Source organism: Homo sapiens, chromosome X (assembly GCF_000001405.40).
Source record: "Homo sapiens chromosome X, GRCh38.p14 Primary Assembly".
NCBI classification, from domain to species: domain Eukaryota; kingdom Metazoa; phylum Chordata; class Mammalia; order Primates; family Hominidae; genus Homo; species Homo sapiens.
Window position 1 is genome coordinate 123,183,514 of NC_000023.11, and position 27,952 is coordinate 123,211,465.

The 27,952-nt window shown below is 41.5% G+C and overlaps 1 protein-coding gene across 3 annotated transcripts in view; it reads left to right on the forward strand.

Moving 5' to 3' along the window:
• Positions 765-27,952, forward strand: part of GRIA3 (glutamate ionotropic receptor AMPA type subunit 3) — a 306,638-nt gene continuing 279,450 nt past the window's right edge. For 2 of the 3 annotated variants that reach the window (NM_000828.5, NM_007325.5), the window contains exons 1-2: positions 765-1,131; positions 2,319-2,477. In NM_000828.5, the coding sequence (NP_000819.4) occupies positions 1,023-1,131; positions 2,319-2,477 (268 nt within the window). In that variant the 5' untranslated portion in view covers positions 765-1,022. Of the gene's footprint in view, positions 1,132-2,318; positions 2,478-19,122; positions 19,270-20,886; positions 21,171-27,952 lie in introns of those variants that run through there. The other variant, NM_001256743.2, reaches the window with a different exon arrangement.

Consider the following 27,952-nt stretch of genomic DNA (forward strand, 5'->3'; position numbering starts at 1 on the left):
TAAAAGCGGAGCGGCAGAGACCGGGCATGCGCAGCATCTTCGGGCGCATTGTGATGGGAACTGCTTCTCTGAGTCTCTACAAAGACTCCGGAGTAACCACTAATGGCCCTCCTAAGGCCCCCCTTCTTTAAGACAGACACACAAACACAGAGGCAATGCAGCTATTTTTTTTTAAAGGGTGGGAGGACGTTGCAGCTTGAAAGGTTGATCCACGTTAGGAGTGGTGTATTTCTATTGATCCCATCTCCGGTGTTGACAAACGCCAGCGCCTAGGCTTTGCAGTCCGGGGCTGCAGTTTGCAGTAGAGCTAAGCGGTGTGCGGCTTTAATTCCACGTCAGATCAACTTTGATCAATATCCCCCTACTGGCCCAATTGGAAGAGCCCAATTCACCGGCACTGAGCCTTTTCGCTCTTTCCTTTTTTTCCCCCCCTCTTTAGACCTACCATCTTTTGCGGGGGGGGGGGGGCGCGGAGAGAGTCTCAGATTGTCTTGATAATTTATTCTTTCGTTCTCTTTCTTTTGCTTCTCTATTTTTGTTTTTCAGTGTTTTGCTTGTTTTGTTCTGTTTTAGGATTTTATTCTCTCTCTCTCTCTCTCTCTCTCTCTCTCTCTCTCTCTCTATCATAGGGACAGAAATCGCTTTGGCAAACCCAGCTTGCAGCCAATGAACCCGCCTTCCAGATTGGTGTGAAGACAGAAGTGAGGTGGGGGGAAGGGAGGGGGTGTGAGAGATCCTGGGAGCGAGAGGGAGAGAGAGGGAGCAAGAAAGGAAGAGAGAGCGAGCGAGAGAGAGCGAGCGAATAAGAGAGAGAGTAAGAGGGAGAGAGAAGAAGAGGAAGAAGAGGAGGCGGCGGCAGCGGAGGAGGAGGAGGACTAGTGTGGGGTGGAAAGGAAGAGTGAGCGAGAGCAAGTTAAGGGGAGGGGGTGTAAGAGCCAGCGAATTCTTTTTCTTTTTCTATTATTATTTTGACGACTCCTGAGTTGCGCCCATGCTCTTGTCAGCTTCGTTTTAGGCGTAGCATGGCCAGGCAGAAGAAAATGGGGCAAAGCGTGCTCCGGGCGGTCTTCTTTTTAGTCCTGGGGCTTTTGGGTCATTCTCACGGAGGATTCCCCAACACCATCAGCATAGGTAAGCGCAAGCGAGCCAGCCGTCGGTCCAGGCTCTCCCTCACCCGAGACCACTGCCCCGGCAAGGCTTTCCCTGCGGTGGGTCCCTGTCCTGCGTGGCCTGGGAACTGGGACTGGGGCCGGGACCGGGCAGAGATGGTGCGGGGCGGGGGGCGGGGCGGGGGGAATCTGAGCCTCAACGAGGTGGCTGGTCTGAAGAGCCTCTGGGACAAGAGAGGGGTCTCCTGGGGCTAGTGGGGGTGAACTGCTAGGTTTTCCGAGCCGAGAGGAGCACCGGAGGCGAGCAGGAGGCTGGGATGCTGCAAGGGGGTGAAGAGTCGAGGCTTTTCGGCTCGCTGCTCTGGACTTTGCCATGGCGTGCGTGCAGCTCCTGGAAGTTGTCCCAGGGTGATGCCGACTGTCTGGCCGCGCCAGGGCGCATAACCCGGGCCCGGGGTGCTCAGTCCGTGGTCTCCGGCTGTCGGGAGACAGGCTGGTGCTGGGGGAGGTGGAGCCCACTTTGGATCTCCCAGACCCGGGCAGCAGCAGGCGTTGGTGGTGGATGGGGTAGGAGGCGGGGGTGAGACTAGGAGCTGAGCGGGCAAGCGGCGAAGTCACGCAGACCACGAATTCATGAATTGCCGCTGTGTCTGTCTGGAGCCCGGCTCCTGGGCGCCTGGAGGGAGTTATCTTGGCTTCTGTCGTATTTACAAGTCTAGAAGTTAGAATTTTTGCCATTACTGAACCAACCCCCTGTATTGTCACGGGGGAGGGTGGCTATGGGGAACGGGTTGGGGTAGCAGGGGGAACAATATTGTTTTTCTTCCCAACCTTTCCCTTCACACAATGAAAAGATGACCAGCTGTGCGGATGGGCGGGGGGCGGAGGGGGGGGGCGACTAAAAAAAAAGAAGGCTGCCGACTAAGAAAGAACCAAGTCTCACTCTTGGTTCCATCGTCCTAACCCAAAACGGCTCCCTCGTCTCTTCTCCCTTCTCTCTAGCCTCTTCTTTTCAGTCTAGAAAAGCCAGGTTTCTCTTGGCCAAAATCTGAGTTCACAAGTCTTGAAAGACACACAGGTTGAATATCAATCCTCAATCCCACACCCCAGTATCATTGAGAGGTATCCGGTATCTATATTGTTCCCCAATTCCTAACTGGCCCTAGTGTGGGGGAACACAAGCCAAATCTCCGTTCCCTTTGCTTATAGGTGGACTTTTCATGAGAAACACAGTGCAGGAGCACAGCGCTTTCCGCTTTGCCGTGCAGTTATACAACACCAACCAGAACACCACCGAGAAGCCCTTCCATTTGAATTACCACGTAGATCACTTGGATTCCTCCAATAGTTTTTCCGTGACAAATGCTTGTAAGTAGATCTGCTTTTCCTCCCTTTGGGACGTTGGGGACCTCATTTGCATCTTTCTTGTGGCACTTAGGGTCTGTGTATGTGCTGGGAGATGATTGCTTCAGTAGATATTTTAGGGGCTCTAATCCATCCGGTTTCATGTTGCATAAATCAACTCCAAATGATACTGCTGAGGGGCTTAAGACAGTGGGAAAAACTCAAGACAGTGGGCAAAAGTCTGCTCCAAATAGTGTTTGATGCAAAAGTTTCATTTTCCTCCATGCTAACCTAGTGTGTTCCTTCTCCAACACTCTCTCTCTTTTTTTTTTAACTGGGGAAAAAAAAAGAAAGAAAGAAAAAAATAGCACGGTTGTTCAGAGAAATTTCTTCAGATGAGATTTAAAAAAGCAGCAGCAGCTTCTTGATTGAGTCAATTCAGGATGTACATCACTTGACTGTTAAAGCTAGTGCCTGGCTCTAGGAACGAGCTGAATTTGACAATTGCCTAATGTGTAGGAAGCAAATATGAGAAATTCTGCAAACAAGTGACCTTGAGGGGCAGAACAGGCTGGGTTCCCTGGCCTCTTTCTGTCCTCAAATATTACCTTACTTACTGAGAGAGCTCTGATAGGAACTCATAAGACTACAAACTGATTGCAAGTGATGAATGCCTAGCAAACTGAGGGGAGGGGAGAAAATGGTGATCAGGTGATGATTTAGAAAGCTAGTTCTGCCTCCCCTAGTGTTGTTCACCCCCATGATCATTAAAGACAACACAGTTCTTAATTTAGAGCAAAGAGGGGGCAGGAGGAGAGGAGGCTTGGAGCAGGAAAACTGAATATGGAAAGAGAAGAAATTCATCAGGCCCAAAGCCGGTTCTGAAATCCTTAGTTGTACCGGGTGATTATTCCTCTGAAAAGGGGACATTTTGTAAAATACAACCAAAGGAACCTAAATGGCTAATAGCCTGTTGGACATATGGTTTTACTTGAATGGAATGTTTCGTGAGAAAGACTGAGAATACTTCATGTAAGCTTATTTCACTAAAAGTTTTCACAACAATGAGGCTGAATATGGTATAAAATATGCTTTGCTTTTATGGCTGATGTAGTTTGGAATTTGGGGTTTTTCTTCCTTTCTCTTCCAAGGGAGAAATGATATTTATGTTTGGATGGGTGAAACTTTGTATATGACTTTCTTTAAATCCTTCTGCCTCAAAGGATGCATGGTTTCCAGAAACCACTGAAAGGGTCTCTCCAAGGGCACAGGTTTCTTGGCTTTGAAGACTTGGGCCAAGAGGATGGGGGTAACATACTCTGCAAGAAATATGACAGTTGTCAGCTTTAAGAAAATTTTAGCTGAAGATACAGATCCTTATATGAACGTGTTCTGAGATACTCCATATTTGACTTTCTTTGGCTTTCTGACATTGACAAAAATAGGAATTTATTAATTCCAGCTAGTGTGAAAGTTACGAAATGTCTGTCTATACTTTGCATCTTATTTTGGTAATCCCAGCCTGTCTCCACAGCATTTACAACACGCATCTGACTCTTAATCCTGCAGCACTGTGATCTTGTCAAGAGGCTGAATCTCAAATGCAGCTTCCTAAATATCAATTAGAACAGATTTAAAACTAAATACATTAAACTACCAGGGTTTATTACCATTAGTAACAAATAATATTTATTTCAACTCCCTTCAGTGTCTTTTCACTGATGAGAACTGGGATAAGAGAACCATTTGGTTTCTCAGAAATGATTGATTTCCAAGGTTTTTGGTCCTGTTCTTATGGTCAAACCAGATTGACACCCACCAGCCCTGGACTGTCAGAACCCCACTCAAGAAGCAATCAGAAATGATTCTTGCCATGTGAAAATCTCAGGTTTAGGAAAAGGCAATAAGTCATCCATATTGGTATTGAGTTGCCTTATTGCCTTACCTCTCAGGGCAATAAGAGAACAACCAGGGGAAAGGAAAAGAAATTGATCAAAATCCCTCACCGTAAATTCATAGCATTTCCACTTACAAGGCTGGGTTGTGGCTAGGGGCTTGAGAGTTCGGGAGAAGGAGTGTGGCTCACTGGGCAACAAGAAAAAGAAAATGAAAACGTGACCTTGCCCTTAGTTATGTCAAATACACATGTATGCATGCACAGACATACGCAGGAAAAATAGCTAGAAACCAGTGTTGTGTATCCAGCTGCCTGTTGCTTTCTCTGAAGACAGAGGAGGAAAGCTGTCATCTTCTCTGGTCCCTGAAACAGTCATCTCTGAATGTCACAATCATTGAATGGGGGCCAGATCTCAAAGCTGTCTCTAGGCAGCTGCTGCTTGGTAGCTTAGTATGAGAAAGATGACTCGTCTAACCATAGTCTTGGAATGCAGAAACCAAGTATTTCAAGGGACCAAAGAAGCCCTGGAGGTGTTTCTCATTTCTACCCCTGGCTTTAATTGTTCTTTTTCTTGTGGAAGCGGAGATCAAATATTTCCAACTGGGTTGAAATTCTAGTTCAGTGCTGGAGCCTGACAGGTGACCCCCAGGTTCCACTCCTCCAAATGATTGCCCTGATTGTGCAAAGAGAAACCTCTGTATCCTCCGGCCTGTCCTTCTCTGGAGACCTAGGGAGAATTCCAGAAAACAACAGATGAGTCTCAATCTGGCCAACCACCTCTCCTATCTGGTTCAATATGGAATGGGCTGGCAAAAATTAAAGAAACTTTCCCTTATTCCTATGCAAAATTCCTAGTTTCAACTTCCCTTAGCACTAGAATTGATCTCTTCTCATGATCTTTCCTGCACCCTCAATCCTGAGGCAGGCACACACTTTCTAGGGTGTAGGTGTGCAGGTAAACGAATACACAAAGAATAAACAAAGGGTAATTCTTTCATATATGTGTCCCTGTTCTCTGTTCTCCCTCCACATCACCCACCCCTACAACCTCTGACAATGTGTTTGAAAGGTTTCCTTGCGATGAATCCCAGGCATCAGTTATTTAAAGACTCTTCTTCATCAGAAACCAATTTTTTTGCACAACCCCCAAGAGGTTTGCTTAAGACAGACTCCAACTTTATTCCATGTCCTACGAGGCCAATAAGAGCCACACTGGCTTTGAAAGGTGTTTAATTTGGGATCTCAACTCAGAGATGGATTGAAGTTTATCTAAGAGACTTACCTGATTTGAAGCACATGTTCCCATTTCATGAGGATTAATAGAGTTTGCTGCCTTACTTTTCAACTTAGCTAGATAACCCCAGAACCAAGAGTGGTGTGAATTCTTTGGCTTCAGGATATATACATTCATAGACACACAATCAATATATATGAAGAGAGATGTATACACATGTAAGTTACATGTGTGTTTTTTAAAAAACAGATTCAATAGTCCTAAGGCTTTCAGGGCAGGGGTGTGGAAACACCAAGGGACTGATGTGTCCCATCGTGTGGCTTTGCTGTCCTGGTTCCTCAGGAAACATCGCCGATTCCCTTGAAGTCCCCTCCTGTGTCTTTCTGCTGTGCACTTGTAGTGCACTCCACACTACACCGCCCCAGCCTCTGCAGTGTCAGCTCATTAGCACACAGATCTCATATTCCCTCTCCGCACTGTCATTGCAAAAATTGCTGTTGTACACCTTTACAGCCAACAAATGTGCTTGTGGATTACGCACTGTTTGCAAGAAGCAGGGAAAAGGCAAATGTAACCTTAAAGGTTATTCACCACGGAATTGTACTCTAAACGCATTGGCTTAAATAAAAATCTGTTGATGGAGGCACAATGGTGATGGTGGGATTGAGAATAGGACTTAGGAGTGCAGGCTTTAATGGAGCCCCAGGTAAAATCCCTTTTGCTGGCTAAACGTAACCCATCAGATGCAAAATTTTATTCCATTAATTTTTTTCAAGCCATTTGAAATATAACTGCTGAGAACACACTCCCTTTACAACTAAGCGCATTTCACTACCAAATATACTTAGCTGAGACAGGTTTCTGTCTCTTGCCTACAGAGTCACAATCTAATTATCTAATTATTATAATTGCCAAAATCAATTTAACTATTTATGTCCATTTGGGAAGGAAATGTCTCCTTTGATCCCATTCTTTGCAATTTGGTGGGTTTTGTTTTGTCTTGGTTTGGCTTTGGTGTCTGTCCTTTCCATGTAAGATTTGGAAACCAGGTGAAGACTCCTGGGATCAAGATCAAGCCTCCTTCCCTTAACAGATTTTGCCATACTACCCAACATTGACTGCTCTGGTTCCACTCCCTCCCTCACTCCCCCTCTTCCCTGCCTTTGTGCCTTTGCTGCTCTCCCTCTCTCCTCTGTCTGCTGGCCAGCCTTCAGTAAGCACGCCGGCTTAGCTCACTTCTCGGCCCCTCTGGCTTAGTCCCCTGAAGCATGAAGAGGTTGCCTTAGTGGTGCCAGTCAAAAAATTAAGTCACGTTTTCACAAGGTTTATTACGGTTTTTAAAATTTATTTTTCATAGGGCGGGGGAGGGAAGAAGCTGATGCTGTTCATTTGGGCCATAAAAATAGATGGCAATCAGCAGGCTGTAAAGGTGAGCTTCCTGCAAAGTGTATTACCTCCCCTAGAAGGCAGCTTCCTATTGATCTACTAAATCAGGGGGGACAGCAGCAAGAAGGGTTTGAAGGAAAGGAATAAAGGGAATTATTTTGTTCTCCATCTACATTTACTGCAAAATGGGCCATGGTTTTTCTCCCTCTCTGCAATTTTAACTTTTTTTCCCTAAAATGAAACTAGTTTTCCACATTTTCCTACTTCTGCCCCTACAGAGGTAATTTCCTTAATTCTGCATTTCCCTCCCTAGTCCCTAAGACTGAGTGATAATAGTGGAGGATCGATGAGCTTTTTGTTATGTTTTTGGCTCCTGATGTATTTTTAAATTTCATTGTTATGGGTAGTCAGAGGTGATTGGCTGGTTTCATTTTAACAGATTGAAAAATAAATGAAGCTCCTGAGGCATCGTTATTTGTCTTCCTTTTTACAGTTAAAGAGATTTGTCATTTTTATACAGTTGGTTTAAGGATTAAATGATGGCATAGATTTTAAGACAGGGCCAGAATTTTAGACGATAGAATTCCATAACTTTGGGGGAGACTAATAAACATGCTTATCCAGATGATTTCCCTGTCAACTTCTTAGATTGAGACTGCAAAATAAATTTGAAGGACCTTTCATAAAACCATCTATCTTCAATGAAGGTCAAGCAAATAATCTGTATACTTTACCTGCTCCATTAAAAAATCAAGTTTTGACTTTATTCCTTTGGCTTTGTTACTTTGGGTCTTATTAGATAAAATATCCACAGGAGGGTGCAATTAAAACCCCAGGTGGGGGTGATAGGTATTCTTCAGCAGCACTGTGGGAGTTGTGCAGACACAAAAGGAATTCCCTCCATCTTGGGAGCTGCTCAGAAACTGTCTGGGCTCCAGATACAGAGCTATAGATAGCCTCAGCCCGTGTGTGGGATGAGCCTTGAGCTAAGGCAGCAGCCCCCAAAAAGGGTCAGTCCTTGACAAAGGTTAACATGGATAGAAATTGTCTTCCTCATATTTCTACCTCTTCTATTGCCATTATTTTCTTCTCTTGCTCTATCCGTCCAGCTCGTCTAACTCCCTTTTGCTGGTCTCTGCCTACTCACTGACCAGCCCCTGATTCTAGCATCCCATCCACACTAAACTTACCTAGGGACTATTTTCTACCCCGGACTTTTCCAGACCTAATTCCCAGAACTTCTCCTTCTCCACCAGAATACCTTTACTCTTGGTCCATGCTCCAAGGATGTAGAGTGCAGTACGGCCTGCACTCTACTTTGGGGGTGACAGCTTTATATCTAATATAGGTATATATTTCATATATATGAAAATGTCAGATAAATGGTAAAGGGTTAATATATGTAACGGGGAGTATCTGCTTCAAAACTAGGGACTATGGGAAACATACTGCCTCAATTTCAAGGAAAGATACTTAAATAGGAGTGTTTCTGGATATTACTCTCAGAGTGGCTGTTCACTCTACCCAAACTAAAGGTCAGCTGGCTTTGGTCATAGAAGACTTTTACAGGCCAAAGTACAAGTCTAACTGCCCATAGTAGGTTGGGTGTAAGTACACCCGAGGCATAGGCAGGTTCAACTTCATGTTGAATCTAAAAGCCTTTGCGGGTAATTTGGGAAGCTGCAGGTTCAACTTCTTCATATTGAATCTAAATGCCTTTGGGGGTGATTTGAGAAGCTGCTAAAGTTCATAGGTATTTATTTTATTAAAGAGGCTGGTGTGGAGACTGAACCTGCCTATGTGGGCACTGTCAGGAGATGTACTGGCACAAAAGGAAGGTTATAGGAGAGGATAAGGGTGGGAGAGAAGCTATCTCTCCAGCTGTAAGTTTCCTTTCCCTGGGATGGTATGTGGAATGCCACGTTTAAGAGGTAACATCCCTCTCACCGTCACTAAATAGTATCTCTGGAGGTATTTGGAAGTGTAGTTAAGCAGTATCTCCTCCTCCCTCCATCCTTCCCTTACCTTGTCTCAAACATACACTCTGGCCTCCCTCCCAGTGGAAATAACCAGCATATTCTCTTCTGGATTTCCAATTGCTCATTGGTCACAGAAGTGTTTACATCCCATGCTCTATCTGGACCTCCCTGTTCCTCAATTCCCAACCGTCACTGGCTTCTTAAGCAATTATCCTCAACACAACCATCATTTGTCCTTATTTGGAGGGTGCAGGGGAGCAAGGATAAGAATAAGGAGAGGAAACACAGCTGATAATGATCCCTCAACCCTATGAGGCGCAATTCAGGGTAGAACAGCACTTGTTAATTTTTCATGTGCACACCAATCACCTAGGAATCTTGTTAAAACAAAGATTCTGATTCACTAGGTCTGTGATGGTGCCCAAGAATTTGCATTTTTAGCAAGCTGCCAGGTGATGCCAATGCTTCTGGTCCTGGAACCACACTTTGAGTAAGAAGAGCCCAGAGCAAGGAGACTGTGATCATTAAAGGAAAAGGCTCTCGCAGACCAGCTCTTATCCATCTTTGTATCTTCTTGCCCTCCAAAGAAGGTTCTGTAAGAGACACATTTGGCTCGTTCTTACTCAAGTATGTATCTGTCACATTCCCAACAAGTCCGTGTCCATTTCAGCCAGGTCTGTAGGTGGCATTACTAGATATCTGATGATAGCATTTAGAGTTGTTTTATTGTAGGGATGTGGAGTGGGGACTGAAAGGCAGGTTCAGCGAGGAAGTAGCTCATGAGCCCGGGTGACACTGTCTTGGCTTCTTGCCATACCCCAAAGTGCCCCTTTTAGAAACAACCTGCCCAAGAGAGCGAAGGTTGGCATGCAGTTCCAACTGCCTTTCCACTTTGCTTCTCTGGGTCAAGGCATGCCAGAAGGAGGAATGTAACATCTGCTCCTCAGCTGTCTGACTTCCCTTAAACAGGGTTAGAAACAAGAAGTACAACACAACCTGAATTCTATCTGGTTCCCTAAGAGACTGAAAAATTGACTCCATTTTCAAGGCCTGTGCCAGGCACTCACTGATGGGAGGGATGGGAGGGAAGGGAAGTAATGTCACTTTCTAGCAGACCTGAGCCGAGAACTGCTCCAGGGAAGCCATTAAAAGCTTACCCAGTGTCATTTGAGGATCGCAAAATAGCAAAATTCCCCAGAAAAATTGCCCCCCAACAGTGTGCCATTAGTCTGAAATTCCACAAATTTGTTTATTTGTATTACTGCACTGAAAGCCTGTGCCAAAATGCAAGCGTGCTATCTGGAAGGGAATAAATTAAATCCTTATCAGTCATTAATATTTCAACCAGAATTCTCTGTTCAGATTACCACCTGTTACCTTGCAGGATCCTCAGAGGGGGCTTTCCAAGACAGGTAAATGACCCAGAACAAGATACCTGCCCAAGGAAGTGAGGCACCAAATGGATTGCGGGCATTCAGAGGGGCGCTGGTAGACTCTTGAGGATAAGGAAGATTCCCTCAAATACACTTCACCTATTTTTCAACATTTGACCTTCTCCATGGATAAATTCTGGTACTTTATTCACTAAGATTTTAGTTATCTTTAACTATTTTAGCTGCCTTTGACCGAAGTCATACCCTTCTGATGGTAGTGGGCCTGCTGCCTGTTCTGTGTGTGGTGTTTGCTGCAATAGGTGATTTCAGCTTCAGGATTTTCCACAGTTACTGTGGAAAATTTTCAGAGGTAAAATCAGTTTGTGATGAGGTATGGTGAGAATTTAAGCTTTTAAAAATTGTTGTGATCAAAAATAATTCCCTCTCAATTATCCATGATTGGCTAATCTACCTTGCCAATTACTCATTGCAACCAGGGCCTTCATCTTTGTAGCTCCCCAGAAAGGGGTCAAGCCACAGGCAATAAATGAGATGGGAAGGGATCAGGATGCAGCTCACAGAGGGGTAAGTGTATGGGTGTGGGTACAGGTCTTTGTGTAGGTGAACACCTTTGCACAATTAAGATTAGTAAAGCCATTAATGTCCAAAGTCAGTCAGAACCTGTTAAACATTCTCAAATATCCTAGTACCTCACTGCAGTTTCCAAAGCTCCTTGTTCATTAAACAGTGTTTCTTGAATTGGGCCACTTGCTTTAGAATCACCAGAGATGCTTGTTAAATATTAATTCCTGGGTCATACCCTAGATGTATTGAATCAGAAACTATCAAGATAAGCATTTTACCAAGGTCTATGGGCGATACTAACGCATACTCAGTTTAGGAATCACAGGTTTAAAAAGCCCCAGTACTACAGAGATATACAGATTCAGATTGAATATTTATTGAATACCCACTGAGCACCAGGTATTATGCCAGGCACTTTCACATATGTTACTTCTCTATGTAACTGAGGTGCTATTGGCCTATGCAAGCATTAGAGAGTTTGGCTTTCAGGCTGGAAATCTAAGACTTGGAAGAACTAAGAGACTAGCCTCAAGTCACAGTCTCTGAGGGAAATAAAACAGAATGCTCTTTGAGATGGTAAGTAGAGACAAAGGAATTATTTTCATTTTGACAATGCTTCTTCCTTTCTTTGCTTATTAGCTAATGATTCGTCCTCAGACATGCTCTGAACTAGACGTCATGGCAAATGCCAACTCACTTATTAAAAATAAATGTATTGCAATCAGTTCATATAGCAATCACTGTGCCTTCCTCCCCATCCTTGCTATCAACAAATTTAAAACCAGAGCTAAAATAATAACAGCTACCATTTATTAAAGCCGTACCACATGGAAGGCACTGTGCTAAGCATTTTACATGCCTTATCTCATGGAATCATCACAATATTGCCACAAGCGAGGAACTCTCATCCCCATTTTCTAAAAGAGGAATGATAGGTGGTTCAAAATGCATAAGCAACTAGCTCAAGGTCCCACAACTAGCTAAGTAGTGGAGCCAGGATTCGACCTGAGATCTTCCTGTCTCTAGAGGCTGAATCAATTTCAACTTGGGTTGAAATTTCAAATGCATATAGGGGCTACGCAGACCACATAAAAGTGGTAGGTAATTGGACCAGGTGTGTTATAATAGGGAGTGGTGGGGCCTATGACAATCCAGAGAGTCCATGCTTCTGCCTGAAGACATTCAAATTCAATTTTCTTAAACCACTATGGGACAAACAAAATGCCTGCAACAGGACCTAGAAGGACTGGGAGTGGAAAGTACACATTTCTGACCTCTGCACTATACTATATACCTCCTTTTAGCAGCTAGGTTACTGGTTGAGGGAAGCTCTATTAACTGGTAGTTATAACTACTGAGAACAGCAGAGAGAAAAGCTCTTCTCAGTAAAAACTCTATTTTGACTTTCTTCTTATAGTGTGCCATCAAAGTATCTCAATATGGTAGAATTTTTTCTCCTTTGTGGAAATACTTGTGGTGCCATGTACATACACTCTATATCTAGTAGCTTTTCATGACTGAGTGCCAGCTTGACTCTAACTAACCTTCCCCCAGGCAATGCGGAGGCCCTCAGCAAGGTCAGAATGCTGGCACAAGGTCATTAATAAGCGCCCAGCAGATCAGAAGAGGTACATCACCATTGGTGGGGGGAGGCTGTGCTCTGGGACAACTTCTTAGGTTCTAGAACATGCAAACCCCAGGCCCACAACTGGGAGGCCACTGGGTCAAGTAAGGCTATGTCAACAGCCACCCAGGGTAGGAACTTCCCATATACTCTGAGAAAGAGGCTCACCAACTTTAGACCAGGGTCTAAAATAGAGATGTAATAGTTGTCTGGAGTTGTAAACTAACCTAACCCAATCTGGTCATTGACAATCATTACGTACTTTTTGTTGGATATTAATAGCCTGCCATAGTTAAAGTGAGGCTATAGATCTTCTCCCCATTAACATCACTACCAGCTATAACAGCAAGACTCAGACAATATTCTACTTCCCATTAAAATAATAGCAAATAGACATAAAATAATTTGATATCCAATTCTGTAGACCCAGACAAATTCAGCTCCCTTTGCTTCTAGGTGCTACAACAACACCTTGCATGAAGGTTTACTTGAGGCACACAAGACAACATTCTAGTAGCAGGATTCAGCTAACCAAAAATCCCCATCAGTGGCTGTCCACAGGACAATTTACAAATTGAACCTACAGTACCATTTTTTCTAAGGGATAATATTATAGAGCTTACTAGATGCTTATGTTTTCTTTATGCTAATTTGGGAACTCCTCTACCATATTTCTAGCCAATCCACATATGTTGTACACTATTAATTTCACCAATGAGAAGTTTAATGTTAATTAACAAAGCCTCTGGTGCTCATTGGAGATAAACTCCTGAGGTGATTGTTACAATCACTTCTTGATTAGAATTCTTTAAATGCTAAATTACTATTCCTGGTCTATGTATTTCCAAATGAGGGTAACTGACCACCTCTACAGTATAGATTAAGACTAACTGACCCATATATACACCACACAATTTATGTTGAAGTCTTATGAAATAAACTATAAGTAACAGAACATTTGAGATATCATGTTTCTTATGGCCTTGGAAAACAGTAAAAGTTGTAAGAGCAATAGGAGGGTGGTGGAATGAACAATGGGACAGAAATTAGGAGATCTGGGTTCCAGTCTCAGCTCTGATATCCACTGCCTGGATGACCTTGGATAAATCACACCTATCTCTGGCTCTAGTTTTTATCATGTGTAAACTAGGGAGGTTCTTCTGGATGATGTTTGTGACTTCTATCTTTGACATTCTATCCACTGGGCATGGCAGCTCAGGCCTGTAATCCCAGCACTTTGGGAGACCAAGGCCGGAGATCACCTGAGGTCAGGAGTTCGAGATCAGCCTGGCCAACATGGTGAAACCCCGTGTCTACTAAAAATACAAAAATTAGCCAGGTGTGGTGGTGTGTGCCTGTAGTCCCAGCTACTCAGGAGTCTGAGGCAGGAGAATCGCTTGAACCCAGGAGACGGAGGTTGCAGTGAGCTGAGATCGTGTCACTGCACTCCAGACTGGGACAGAGTGAGACTCCATCTCAAAAAAACACAAACAAAAACAGCAACAACAACAAAGACATTCTGTCATTAACTCTTGTCCAATTCTTACCATCTCATTTCATTTCTTACTGAGAAAAGGCCATCCAAAATGAAGCTCCTCAAATTCTATATCTAGAAATTCCTCTTCATATTCATCTACTCTCTGCCTTTATGAGAGCCTGTGATAAAAATATTGAATCCTTGAAATCAATGGTTAGTGTTTCAGCCAGTTGTGGCTTATCCTTGCACATCCCAACTCTTCCACTTACTAGCTGTGAGACCTTGGGCAAGTTACTTAACTTCATTGTGCCGCAGATTCCCCAGTTATAAAGTGGTGATAGTAATAGTTCTTACCTCATAGGATTGTTGAGAGTTTTAAATAAAATAATTCACAAATGCATGTAAACACTTAGAGCAGTGCCAGGGCCATCAGTGAGCTTTCTTCGTGGGCCCTGGAGTCAAGAGCCCGAGAGAGGCCCTCCATACTGTTCATTCTCCTCTGGAGCAGGCACTGCCCTGGCACACAAATGGCACATACCTATTTCTTTGTTCTTTTCTACTTCCTAGTGACCACTTAGCAGTTGATAATCCTTTTAGTCACTTGCCATTCATATGATGAAAGCTCAACAGAGATGCACCTCTGGAACATCTCTGAGTCTAGGCAATTCTTCCACTAATATATTACAGTCTCTTACAGCATTCAGTATACTTTGTGCAAGAGCTACTAAATGCATTCTAATCTTGGCTCTCTTACTAGCCATATGACCGTGAGCAAATTACAGAACCTCTGTGAGCCTCAGTTCCATCATCTGTTCAATGAGAATAAATATAATAGTAACTATCTTATAAAGTTGTTGTGAAGATTGGGATCATCCACGTAAAATATTGACCATAATGTCTAACATATGTGTTCAATATATTAACACAGAGTAGCGAAGTGGTTGGTAAGGAATAGAATTAGTCAGAACCAAACTGTGGAAGATATTCTTAACTATCCCCAAAGCCCTTCAAACTAACCTGTATGCCCTGTGAATTTGTAGCTGAAAAGAAGCTGGATGAGATCACCTTTGAATACCCACAATGCTGCCTTGGGCATAAGAGGTTTGCTTGGGGACAAAAAAAAAGTGGGGAAAGAAAGAATTTGCTTGATACCTCAAAAAAGCCAGGGCACACATACCACTAAGCCTAATCATGCCACCATTAAGTGGAATTGTCCAGAAGGACATGATCCCTTCTGATATTTTTTTTCTCTAAACTGGACATGATTTGGGTAAAGCAGCATGGATAGTAATATGATAACCTTAGCACTTGCTGGCTCAAAGGAAAGAATAATCTTTCTTCAAATGTGACCTCTATTTTAATGTGTTTAAAGTGGGAGCATGGAAGAGTGGATCCCAGATCCTGGATCCTGATCCTGCACTCAGACTAGGAAAAATGTAGTTCCAACTGGGCTCTCCCAGCCATGAGTTTTCTGAGTTTTTTAATTAAGGCTGATGCGTGAGTGGAAGTTAAGAACGTATTCGTTTGAGTGGATGGATTTTTTTCTTTTGATGTTGCTTGCCTAAGTCAGATTGAAAATAGCAAAGGAAGGAGATATGGAAAAGATTAAAAGAGAAATTTTGCTAATGTGATTTTCCAGCATTTTAGTCTCTCTCTATTCTCTCCAGAACAAAGGTTAACTAGCTGATTCCATAAGCATAGATTCATGAGAAAGGATCCTGCTAAGGACCACCAGACTTTTTAGTCTTTTAAATTTTTTTTTTTTTTTTTTTTTGCTCCCCTCTCTTCTTCTGTATTCTGTATCTAACAGCATGGTGTATCCAGCAGGCCGAAACCTGGGTTATGACCAAAGGCAATTTTTAGCCACTTCCTATCCCAGTGTACCCATAATCCATGAGTATCATCTCCTCTTCTCATTTCCTATTCAAGCCTATTCCTATATTTTCATGTGGAATCACTGATCTTTTTTTCAGATGAAGAAACTGAAGAGGAGGAACAGAGATGCTCAGTGACTAGCCCAAGGTCACACAGCTAATTGATAACTGAGCTGAGGTTGTAATGCAGGTTTTCCAACTTTTGGCACTTCTCTAAGATGTCTTCCCAACATAATCCTTATTCTCTTGGCTTTCACTGCTGCACAATGACATACATAAAAATGACAACACTGTCAGTTTTAAGTAGGTGGCAGAGAGGAAGAATAAATCCACAGCAAGTTAATTAGAAATACAGTAAAACATGAGTTTCAGGCGCCACAATTAATCGTATCTACCATTTAGTGCCTCCAATGTTAACCTGTCATAGTTTACCACCCTCTGATCTATAGTCAAAAATGAGCAAAACAAAGTCTTGAAGTCCTATTACAGATCATAGACCGTTGGAGCTGGATCAAGTAGTTTTAATCTAATTACCTCATTTTGTGGATGAGGAAAATAAGAACAAGAAAGGAAAAGAGATTTGCCAAAGGTGATGCAGCTCCCTAGTAGCAGAAGTAAGTTGAGCATCTAGACTAACAGATTATCAGAGCGGGGTCTTTTCCACCATGTTTTGCAGCCTTATCAGCAGAAAACTGTACTAAAGTAACACCACAGATTTATTACTTTACTACCTTCTGTTATCTCTTTTTCTCTAATTGTCTAATAAGAGAATCGTCTAATTCTCTTATTCTCTAGTAAGTCATATTACCCCTACCTGATTTTTTTAATGTGGAAAACACTTGTATTATTATAGAATTTAAAATGTAAAATTAATTTCTGCTCATTGTCAACAAACAAAAAACTTCAAAAATATAGAGAAGAAAAATTACCCAGGTAAATTAAAAATCACCCAAAATTAAGTTTTAACATGTGTTCAGATTTGTATCCTGCCTTTTTACTTTATATTATATTGGAAGCATTTGTCCAGACTCTTTAAATGTTCTTTAAAATTTTGATTTTTAATATTTGTGTTACTGTATCACAGTTATTTTATGACACATATGTACATATAAAACCATTACCTTATGTACATATATTTATATATTTTATATATATACATATAAGTCATTATATATGAGCCCATATATATACATATACACACACACACATACATACACACACACACACACACACACACACACACACACGCAACCATTATACAACTTTATGCATTGAGGTGGATTCCCAATTCACTAAGGCTTACTATTATACCTCAACTTCCTCTAATGCCTACATTCTATCACAGATCTGAACACACAGTAAATATGTAATAAATACTTGCTGACTTTTAGTTTTTCTGGTCTTTTTTGGGATGATCATTATTCCTCCACCGGGTAGGGCAACCAAATTGAGAACATGACTTTCCATCCTCTTTAAAGCACATGTTATATAACTCAACAGGCAGTATAGCAATGGTGGTTATGATCAGAAGCCAGACTCTCTGAGTTCAAATCCTGGATCTATCTCTTTCTTGTTGTATAGCCTTGGGTGAGGAGCTTAACCCCTCTAAATCTCAGTTTTTCTTTCTGACAAATGGGGGAAATATTAGTATCCACTGTGGTAAAAATTGAAAGATAAAATATGTGGAAAGTGAATACTCAACAAAGATTAGTTGCCATTATTATTACATTTGCCAAAGGGAAATAGAGTACAGATTTGGAGTCAAAAAACTTGAGTTCTTGTTCCATCTCTGCTATTATCTAGCCCTATGTCCTTGCATGAGTTATTTTAGTAGTCCATGTCTCAGTTTCTTCATCTACAAAATGGAGATAGCAATACTTGAGCTGTATAGCTTATAGGGATGTTATGAAGATTAAATGAGAGAATAAATGTGAAAGTCCTTTGAAAACTATGAAGTTAAGTATAATTGCTAAGTATATAAAGGTAGATGTAACATGATTGTCGTATGGTAGGACTGGAGATGCAGAGGGTGCAGGAGACTAGGCTGAATACAGTGAGCCTGGGAAGATATTTTTAAAATAAAATTCCTTGTATTGGAAATATAGACTGTTATAGACAGAAGGGACCTTAGAGATCATCTAGTCCGTCATCTTAATGTTATATTTAAGAAAAAAGATTCAAAGAGGAGAGAGCTCAAAGTCACAAAGCCAGTCACAGAAATGAAACTAGAATTCATGTCTCTTGATTTCCCAAACACATTCCTAAAGCAATCACTGCAGATCCTTGTTTGTTGACCTTCATCAAAAAAAAAAAAGTAGTAAAGAAAAAAATACAGTTATTTGTGGCATCCATGTTGGTAGTAACTGATTATTTGGGGTTTTATCACAAGGATAAGCCACATATAACATAGCTTTATTATATTTTTACCAACTTTATTCCAGGTGAGAAAAGTAAAGGCGCAGGAAAGTGATGGGTCGGGGGAGGATTCAGTCAGGGCGAATGACCTCAGACTTGGCCAGATTCCCAAGGGATTGCTGTCATCCCCGGCAATGACCACTGTAGCACATGGTCTTTCTTTGATTGTTAATATTTACTTTGCAGTCAGTCCTTAGTTATGTGTTTTTGGAAAACTCGGTATAGTAGATGAAATTATCAGTTGCTTAAAAATACAATTGCCAATTGTTTGATTCATGTAAATTGATTACAGTCAGAGGACTATTCATTTTATGCTGGCATGCATACAGCCCACGTCAGGCAAGGGCTGCATCACTGATGGCAGCTCAGATATCGTCGCATTTCCTGAATTATATCCCGTCAGGTACTCAGTAAATATATGTGTTGGATACTTTCATCTTTACATTTTTTTAGCTGAGATGAGAGCACATAAACATTTCCATCTGACAACCTTTTCAACTTCAACAGCACAGAAGGTTATTTTCAAAAGAAACAAGAAAGGAGTTTTTCAATAGCGAGCTCCAAAGGTGACTAAAAATGCCTTCCAACAAGGCAGACCATTAAGAAATGTAGTGTGAAGTGTGTTAATACAATAAACTCAAATGTGGTCTCACTAGTCTTAGCTCCTCAGAATGTTGGCTGCCTTCCCCAGCTGCCACTGTGGCCTGGACAGTGTACATCAAGGTTCACCCTCTTTCCTCAATCTTGAAGTGCCCCCTTTCCACCCTTCCGCTGAAGGAGACCTATGGCCAGAAGCAGCTTCCCCTCACCTTGTCACCCCCACAGGTCCTGCTGAAAGGGACTACCTGCCTTGGCCAGGAAGCATCAGGGAAAACAATTGGACAGCTCTGCCGTGCTGCAAAGATCATGGGCTGCTGCACCTAAAATGTTCACCAGGTGGGGCCCGCCAAAACTGGGCCTATTGTATCTGGGGTAAGTGCCCATAGTTTGAAATCAGCAAGGTGGAAGGAAAGGGGAAAGAATCTTGTTCACCAATTCCTGTTATGCCGCAAAGAAGATCTCCCCACTCTGGAAGCTTGAAAGGAACAAATTCCAGGCAAGTCAAAGTCAAGCCTACTTTACACAGTGGGAAGTAAACATATGGAACCCCTTAGCCCAGAGTTGGTGCCAGCTGAAAATATAAATACTGTCAGATAAGGTTCAATACATTTATGACTGTTAAGGCAATGATAGGTTATTAAAGGAAACGAGGCTGTTTGGGGACATGTTAAATCTCTGAGCTCAAAATTAGTGAGGACAAGCGGATCCTCTGACAGCCTCAGTGAATGAGTCCTGAAGATATACATGGTCTCAGAACTGTGATTGTGTTCTCCAATTAAGCTAGGAAAAAATAAAGATGTGGTATTTAGGGCTGCTTGGCTCAAACTGAGATGCTAAAATCTCTGGTTTGCTCAGAGTTAAATTCTTCAATACATGTAAGGGAAGCAATGCGTTATGGAAGAAAAAAACCCTAGTATCCTCCCTTTGCACTGCTGCTACTAACTAGCTATGAGACTGCCCCCTCTTTAGGCCTCACCTTTTCCCATTTGTAAAATAAGGGAATTAGAGTAGGTGATTTCCAAGGTCCTTTCTAGCTTCAACTAGGTTTAATTCAAATGATATCACGAGGTTCCCTTGAAGGGTTTGGAGCGGGGGAGATCCTGCATCTTTCCTTGCCCTCCCTTGCTCAGGAGCTCAGAGTCTTCAAGATGTTTGAAAGATGCCCCTGATTCTACCAAGACTTGACTCCTTCAAGTCTGGCCTCCACAGCAGACGTCCATGCTCTGAAATTTATATCTCATGGCCTATTCCCCCACTCATCAAGCTCCCAATTGCCTGGTAAAGAGGTAGAACTGGTTAGATACAGGGGTTTGTTTTGTTCAGTGCGATAGCAAGGTTGGAGAAAGTTTGGGCTCCAATATTAGAGACAGCATTGTATGGGCTTTAAAGCTAGAGCTAGCCCGGGTTAGAATTCTGGTTCTGCCATTTCTGTGCTCATCTATAGAACTTATCTCATCTATAGAATTACAGTGATAATACTGTCATCCCTCTAGGGTGATTGTCAGGATTAAATGACAGAATTCATATCAAATCCTTAGCATAATGCCTGCCATAAAGTAAATGCTGCCACTAGTGGGCGTCTTTTCCTGTTCTCCACTAAATAGATGTTGAGTTAAAAATTAAAACCAATAAATCAATAAATATTGAGCTAATAATCAAGGCTCAACTTTTAAGTTGTGGCAAATTATTTGGAGTCTCAGGGCCCCCATGTTTTGATAACTATAATGGCGTATTTGCAATTTATCAGGGGCATTCTGGAAACTGCACAAGCCAATGAGAGAACTAATTCTGGTGGGTGGCATTTAATTTTGCAGTAACCCCGCAGATCACACTACTTAGATGAGTGCTACTTTGACCACCTCATGGAACCAGTGCAGCCTGTGGGCATCCTGCAGGGAGGCTGACAGAAAGGGAAGTTCCAAAAGGTGACCCCATGATGTGGCTCATCCATTCATAGTGCTGAACAATATTTTACCTTTCCTGTTCAAGGCGTTACAGGTGAACTGTAAGATGAGAACAAGATCACAAGTCAGCACTACCTCCTCCCTTCTTGAGTTCTCAACTGAGTGAGCATCATGGAGGGAGAAGAAAGAAAGAAGTTCAGCCTGGGTGTGTGAAGCTGTAAAGTTGCAGGTTGAACCCAAACCCATTTTAGAGACAGAAGAAACTACCCTCTGGAGATAAAATAAAAAGATGAAGCTGAGATGGGACAGGATCAAAGTTGATGAAATATCAAGAGAGGTTAATAAAGGAACATTAATTTATTCCTCAAATCCTGTGTTCAGTTGTGTGGGTGTATTTTTGGGAGTTGAGGGGAAAATGGAAATAGATATGATAAAGAATTAACTTTTCTTAATGCACTTCCAGTTGATTATTATTATGAATGTCAGCTTTGACCTGGAAATCCCATAGCTCATCTTACACAGGTTGCCTAAAGATAATTTCTCTTCTTAGGCTTTTCTGAGTAAGAAGCCCTCAGTCTTTGGTGGAAAAACCTCAGTAATTAATTGGAAACATGCATGAACATAAAATGGCTTAAGAGTTTAGTGGATCAGGTAAGGAAGTCAAGAGATGGAGATGATCCCTAAAGGTGTGTACCAGGTCCAGTGTAAGGGAGGGTGAGAGAGATGGTGACTTGCAGTGGTTGGCGGCACTTTACTGGGAGCATCGGGTAGAAAATCTAATACATAATAAGGTAGGTCAGGCTGATAGCATTACTATATCCACTTTACAGTTTAAAGAAACAGGCTCGAAGGAGTTAAAGTGTTTTTCCCAGTAAGTGGCTGGGGTGAGACTCAAACCTTAGTCTAATCTTATGCTCCTTCCATGCAATATGCCGTCTCCATTCAACTAGCATTATAAGGGAATGAGTGGTTCTAAGCTAATTTTCCAGATATTTGAAGCACATGTCTTTCAGCAGTGCAAGTGCTATTTTTATTTTAATCATTTTTGAAGAAAAAACTTTCTACAATGCATCAAACACCTCCACACCTTATTATGCAGAAGATACAGATTACTGTGCTTTTAATTTTCTGTCTATTTCCATAGCCTTCTATCTCTTTTCCCACTGTAGCTGACAATGTTCAGTACTTCCTAGGCTACTGAAGATAGACAGCATATTAGAAATGAAGCACTCCTAAAAGTAGATATACTAAAATGTGACAGCTGACAATAAGTGAACACCATGCAGAATCACCAACTACAAAAGCACAACAGTCTGGGATTAATTCAGGTAGGGGCAAATAGACCTAAGAGGCCAAGTAACCGCATGGACAACGAACTCAGTACCGGAGCTGGAGTTGCCAGTAAAGACCCTGAATCATCCATAGAAAATTGAATTCTGTTCATTCTTCTGCACTGGTATACTGTGGGGAAGGGGTGATATATGAGGTCCATCCCAGCTGGGAGGAGTATTTTTTCACTGATATTTAGAAATGCCTGTGCATATGATAATAAAAAAGCAAGTAGACAGTTTATTACTGTCTTTAAATTCTCTACACACTACCCTCTTATTGTTTGCACCCCAGACAGACCACTCCTACTGCTCCTGCGTTGGTATGCCAGTGCTTTACTGTGTTTAAAAAGATGGTCGTGGGGGAGGGTTTCCACTTTAGAAAGATATCCACTATCTCAAATGGCTCAAGATTTGGTATGTCTAAAGGGGTAAATGTTTACTGATCTGGAAAACATAACTCATGTAAGAAGCATGGCAAATTATTGTGTGTTTAGCCTGTCACTTCTCTTTCCTTGTTCCACCTGTAATTTCAAAGGAAAAAAAATAACACTACAAGCAAATCCTCCATAGAATGCCATCCTATTGGCCTGCTGCAAGTACTTGGATCTTTTCAAATTCCAATCAGAATGGGCCGTGCTTTGCCTTCTCCATCTCTGTCTCCTCTGACCCGGCAAAGTTTCCCATCTTTTATCCTGTCACTTAGCTAATGGTGTGTGTCCCTCTTGCATATATTCCATAGTCACCGGCTTCTTTCGCTAGTAGAGTCGTCAGCGAGATGCTCGGCAGATGGCTCACTGGCTGCCGTTCTTGTCCCCTCACTGCAGCAATCTGCTGTTCTAAATCAAAATGTTAATGAAAAATAAAAGAACGCAGTGCCAATGTCTGTCTGATTTAAATTAATACAGAGTCATACCTTTGGAGGCAGGTTTTACTGGCACGAGGTTCTCCATACAGGCTACCCATATTGTGTGTGGCTTTTTTTTCCTCTCTAATTAAAATTAAGCACTTTCATTTATCTGAGTCTCTCTTGGTACCCCCAACCTGTTCTTTTTAATAATAACAAAGACCTAACAAACAGTGGATTTTAGTGTTCCAGGGAATGGCATCTCACCTGGTGGAACATAATTTTGAGAGATATTATATGTGATGTCTAATTATAAACATACTTTGATTGGATTCTGTTCTCAATACTGAAATGACACATTTACTAAATGCTTCAAGTGCAGCTCTAAGTTAGGCATGTAGTTATTGAAATCTCTTTCAATCCATTTGTTTTAAAACTGGTGGCAAAATCACTGCTAATTTGCTACTTTATTTACAAGGGCCCTTCACTTTCTATGTACTCAGCACAGTATTCATTTCTGTTGCTGCAACAGGACTGCTCCCCTCTTTGGGGAAAATGTATGTGTCTGCAAGATTGACTATGCAAGACAAAATTTTAACTTCAATTTAGAGACGAAGGGACCACGGTGATGTTAACAGACATGGTGGAGGAAAATCACCTCAGTATTATAATTTGCAAAAAAAAAAAAAAATCTATGAACCAAAAGAACAGCAGTTTCAACTGATTGCAGAAGACCACACCTTTCATTTTTTCTTCCTATGACTCCTTTGTAGATACTGCTAGGAATAGTATTGAGAATAATGAGTTAACATAGTGCTTCTTACATACCAGGCATCCTTCTAAGTGATTTACATTTATTTATTGTTCCAGTCATCAAAATTCTGTGACTTAGGTCTATTTCACAGATAAGGATTCTGGGGCACAAAGAAGTTAAGTCACTTGCCCAGTCACATAACTGGTAAGTGACAGAGCCAGAGAAGAACACAGCCTGGCCCCAGAGCCTTCTCTTTTAACCACTATACCATTCTATAATGTGCTGAAAGGGCCACGAAATCCAGCCTACTTGAAAGTAAGCTACTGTTTCCTTTCAGATTCGGCAAAGGATATTCTCTTTGCTGAAACTGCTGTGTAAAAATCAGGTTTCTACTTCAGTGGGGCTTGGTCCTTGTTAAATGCATGTACTATTTGCATGTGTCACCACCATTAAGATTAAGGTGAGCCAGGTAAATTAAGCTGAAGCAGCAGGCAGGCAAGCAGGAGAAAAGCCTGGGTTTTCAGGTGGGAACTGGGGTGCTAGTCATTAGGTCAGTCATCTCAGGGCCACCTCACAGTTCTGACAAGAGAAGGCCAAAAGAGGTAAGGCCTACAAAGCCCACATTTGAACCAGCCAAGTATATAGGGACTCCCTCCTGGAACACAACAGGTCAGGTCACCTGGCTTCAAACTCAGTACTTATTCCTACCTACAGGCAGGGCCAACACACAAACCAAACACTATTGAAGATCAGCCTTCCTCCTGCTGCTCAGAAGCCAGCTCAACTGGAAAAACAAACAATAGAAGATGATTATCTCTAATTAAATATATGCATCCCAGGATACATTTACTGGGGTATCAAGTTATTCAAAAGAAAAAGCCTCTAGTCGGAAGGGGCTAAGTAGAGAGGCAGTCATTTCCCTTGCTAAACCTCATTTTGGTGGTTGCATTTTTCTGGCCTTACCAGGGACTAAATGAAAATATGAGATTTGAAAAGAATATTACCAGACAGCAGGATAGGTTACACAGAACCCTGGGCTGGGAGCCAGTTGTCCTGGGTTCCAGCCCCAACTCTGTTTCTAACAAACCATGCCTTCTCTGGGTTTCAGTTAGATCTTTTGTAAAATGAAAAGATCCTGTGAGGGCCTTTCTAACATTAAATAATTTCTGATTTTAGCCACCTCCCCCAACCACCAGTTTTTAATGAAAGATGATTCTCCCTACAGAAACAAGGAAACTCAGAGGATAATTTGACCAAATGAAGCAAAGATTTGAGCTGTTTTGGGGTGTTTCCAAGGAGGCAACTCAAACCATTGAAGTCAGAAAGTAGATTTCTTTTTGGCCTGATCTCTCCCAGTTGATATCACTAGATAATTGCTCACCCCTCTGAGTCATCGAATCATAGGCTGATTGAATCTCTGGGATATAAAGGACCTTAAAGGTCATCTTTTCCCACCTACCCTCAGAGATGGACTCCCTTTCTCCAAACACAGCTAGTCTAAGTAGTGGGACATGTCTGTTTTATAAAGCTTGTGTATATACAGGTGCTGCTTACCTGGATGGATGTCACAGGTCATTGGACCCTTTGACTCCTATTTCCAAATAGCTCTCACTCCTGCTCACTGATACCAGAGCATATTTAACAGAGGGACTTTCATTCTCCACTGAAAACATATGATATAAATTCCCTTTGAAGAGGTGGCACTGTCTAAATTCATAATGCAATGCATGCAACTCTATAGCAGATCCTATCATGAGAGCAGATTTCAATAGGAAAGGTGCCCAAAGACATGGAATTCTTGAAGAGAGTGAAACAGGTTTCAGTGAGAGGTAAAAATTATATAGAATGGGAAGACAGCAAGGGTGGAGGCCCTAGAGTGATAGTCTAATAGAATGTGTAACAACCTGAAGTCAGACTTGGGTTTATAGCTCAACTCTGCCACGTAACTAACCATATTAGCTTGTACAAGTCTCAACCTCCCTGAATCTAAGTTTCCCAAACTGTAACACAGGGATAATAATATCTACTACATAAGGCTGTTGATAATTAAATGAGATAATTATTCAAAGGCATAATGACAGTATGCTTGATTTAAGTACATTTTCAGCCCCAAATCTACAATGTTGTCATAGTCTGATGGCCTTTGATGTGTTTGTTCTTGGTTATGCCTCTGCAACACTCGTGAATATGAATAATGTTGATGACCATGTCTGCAGCCACCAGTACAAATTTTAACTCTCTTACTCTTCTATGCAACTAACTACACAACTGATTCTAGTACCAGCCAGGATATCAATTGTCAAGCAACTGAAATGCCCACCTAAACTTTGATCAAGATTTGCAAGCACAAAGAGATTAGCTCCATGCTCATAATTTCAGAGGAGCTCATATTTTCAAACCTGTTTCAATTTAGCCCAGTTAATAGGACTTCAAGGTAGTTTCCCTAATTAATTAGCTCCAACCAGGAGTAAATATGTATGGTGGCTTTTTGAAAAATATTCCCAAGGTATATTTCAACCTTATTATGGGAGAAAAAGGTTAACAAATGGGATGGTAAGGTTTCAGTACAAATTTCAGGTTGTGTGGGGGAGGTACTGAGTCCATATGCCTGTCAAAAATAATGACAGACAGATTACAGGTTGCCTCTGAACATACTGTTAGATAGCCTTGAAGCCCCCGACTTCTACACTATTATTAGCTTAAATGCTGTCAAGCTTGGAGTTGGGTTTTACCGTGATTTTGTTTGTTTGTTTGTTTGTTGGTTGGTTTGTTTTTCTCTAGGAGGTGTTGTTGGTTTGGAGAGGCTCATCAACTCCATGATTTATTATTTTCTATCAGAGAAACATGAAAGTTTGGGGTCCAGCATTGTCTTCCTTTTCAAAAACATGCTCAAAGCTCCATATTAAAAAAAAAAAAAGTTTCAACCTGCTCCTTTTTTTTTTTTTTTGCCATCCTCCTTTTGCTTCCTAAATCCCCTAATCTGAGATTTGTGTGAGTTGCCTTTATTTCCTATCCCACATTCTGTTCCTAACTCCTACACTCTGTTTCTATTCTCACTAATCTACCAACATTTCTCTTTTGAGTTCACCAGTGATCTTCTTGCCAAATCCAAGAGCTGTTTTTCAATTGTTTATCTTCCTCAATCTCTTTGGTGTATTTGACACACTGGTTTTATCCACTCAAAGTATCTCTTGCCTTAGCTTCTGCTGACACTTCACTTTCTTGATTCTCCTCTGATTTTCCATCTAATTCCCTTTTTGCCTGTAACATTAGGCAAAAATGTTCTCCTTCTCCTTTCTGGGCATGAGTTTCTTCCTCAGTAAAATAAAGGGTTTAGACAGGGTAATATCCAATGTCCCTTTCATATAAAACATTCTATGGCTCTGAGGGTCAGTGAGTTATTTGACTTTAACATGTTATCATGTTTTTAATGTTGAAGGTTTTGTAGCTATTCCAGTCGACTTTAGTGTTCCAGTAATTGATATAAGTGTCTGAACTTCATAAGGCTAGGCCTTTGCTGATTTATACATGTTTAATACATGCTTGCTTTTCTTCTTTATCTAAGACTATGCATATTCGAAATACCTAGATACTACACTGTTCCTTTCTTGAAAATAGATGTAAGGTACATTCTAGAAGAATATCCTGTTGCTTATTATTAATACTAGTCTTTCAAAAATGTATTTGGATCAGAAATCCTTCATCTTGTTCCATTTAATTTGGATATTTAGAAAATGAAACAACAATCTTTTCAGCCAAGTGAAGGCATTATGACCAACCGTGAGAGCCAGAATTCACCAATGTCATCAACAAAGGGTCAAAAATAATATATTTGACAGCTTAATACTGAATTCATATGTTACACAGAAATAGGTGGTAATGCTTTAGTGAACCCTTGTATATCTCTGAGAAACATAACATCACTTAAAGACACTCAAAAAAATGTAAAACAACACAATTTCTATTGATACTTCTTTTCCTTCACCCATATTTTAGGTGCTATACGTGATACTGCCAAGAGTTGCCTGAGACCCCAGGGCAAAAGACTGGCTATAAATACCTTACAAGTCATCCCCACAAATCCACCAAATAAGAAGTTTCCCTTCTCCTAATTAAAAGGCAGTAATGCAATTACTGATCCCAAGGGTATACAATAAATATATGTCAGTAATGAGAAGGTCAGAAAAAGTAAATTGTTAGTGTACAAAATAGAAAATGCCTG